This window comes from Homo sapiens, chromosome 3 (assembly GCF_000001405.40).
Source record: "Homo sapiens chromosome 3, GRCh38.p14 Primary Assembly".
Lineage (NCBI taxonomy): Eukaryota > Metazoa > Chordata > Mammalia > Primates > Hominidae > Homo > Homo sapiens.
The window spans coordinates 98396176-98397405 of NC_000003.12; the positions used below are offsets into that span (position 1 = coordinate 98396176).

The 1230-nt window shown below is 46.1% G+C and overlaps 1 annotated feature.

Moving 5' to 3' along the window:
• Nucleotides 347-949: an enhancer, noted in NCBI's record as "OCT4-NANOG-H3K27ac hESC enhancer chr3:98115366-98115968 (GRCh37/hg19 assembly coordinates)". NCBI's record gives its function as "activates a minimal SCP1, AML or CMV promoter by ChIP-STARR-seq in naive H9 embryonic stem cells {active_cell/tissue: H9 hESC(naive)}" and the evidence as "EXISTENCE:reporter gene assay evidence [ECO:0000049][PMID:30033119]".

The window sequence follows — 1230 nt, forward strand, 5'->3', positions numbered from 1 at the left end:
GAACACCCCATGGGACAAAACAATCCAGTTCTTCTGGGTGAATATCTGTCTCAAAATGCAACCATGTCAACATTTCCCTGGTCAGCTATTTTTTTTCTGTAATTCCATATATGTTCAACTAGTATGAAATCTGTGCATATTGGAACCACGCAATGCCAAGACTGCCTACACTTACTTTTGAACTGATTGTCTAGGTTCCTAATAAAGAAGTCTCTACCTACCATGAAGGACCCTGAAGCAAAGAAGACAAAATTCTCAACAGAATCAGGAGCATCTCTATAAAAATTCTATTGTTTCCTTAACTTGAGTTATTAAAATACCTGGGACAAAAGAATCTGGATGGCAAGCCTTAAATCCCAGATTTTTCCACTGGTGGGAAGTTTCTTTCAGCAGAGACACAATTGCAGTGCTGGGCTCAGGAGGGAAATTTTGCAGCTCTACTTTAACAGTCAGGCAGCCTTGGTGCTCATGAAAGATCTTACAGAAGGGGAATTCTTTCCTTCCTTGTCCGCCACTGCAGACACAGCTGGGGCTTCTCCCATGGGAGCTCAGCATGGGTGCACCTATAGAGAGTGTCAGGCCTCTGAGCCCAAGCCAAGCCATCGCATCCCCTGTGACTTGCACGTATACGCCCAGATGGCCTGAAGTAACTGAAGAATCACAAAAGAAGTGAATATGCCCTGCCCCACCTTAACTGATGACATTCCACCACAAAAGAAGTGTAAATGGCCGGTCCTTGCCTTAAGTGATGACATTACCTTGTGAAAGTCCTTTTCCTGGCTCATCCTGGCTCAAAAAGCACCCCCACTGAGCACCTTGCAACCCCCACTCCTGCCCGCCAGAGAACAAACCCCCTTTGACTGTAATTTTCCTTTACCTACCCAAATCCTATAAAATGGCCCCACCCTTATCTCCCTTTGCTGACTCTCTTTTCGGACTCAGCCCGCCTGCACCCAGGTGAAATAAACAGCCATGTTGCTCACACAAAGCCTGTTTGGTCTCTTCACATGGACGCACATGAAAGAGAGTCTTCCTGGAACACTTCAGAGTACTGCATTCCCACAGAAGGAGCACTCCCAAGATTCAGGTTTGCATGAGAGGCAGAGTCACAATTTCTCTCTATTTGGAATATCAGCATCCTTACAGATGAAAAGAGGTGCCTCTCTTGGGACACGAGTGAGTCTTGGAGGTGGATAGCTTTACTGCTGGCCTGGTGGAAGAACTGAATTG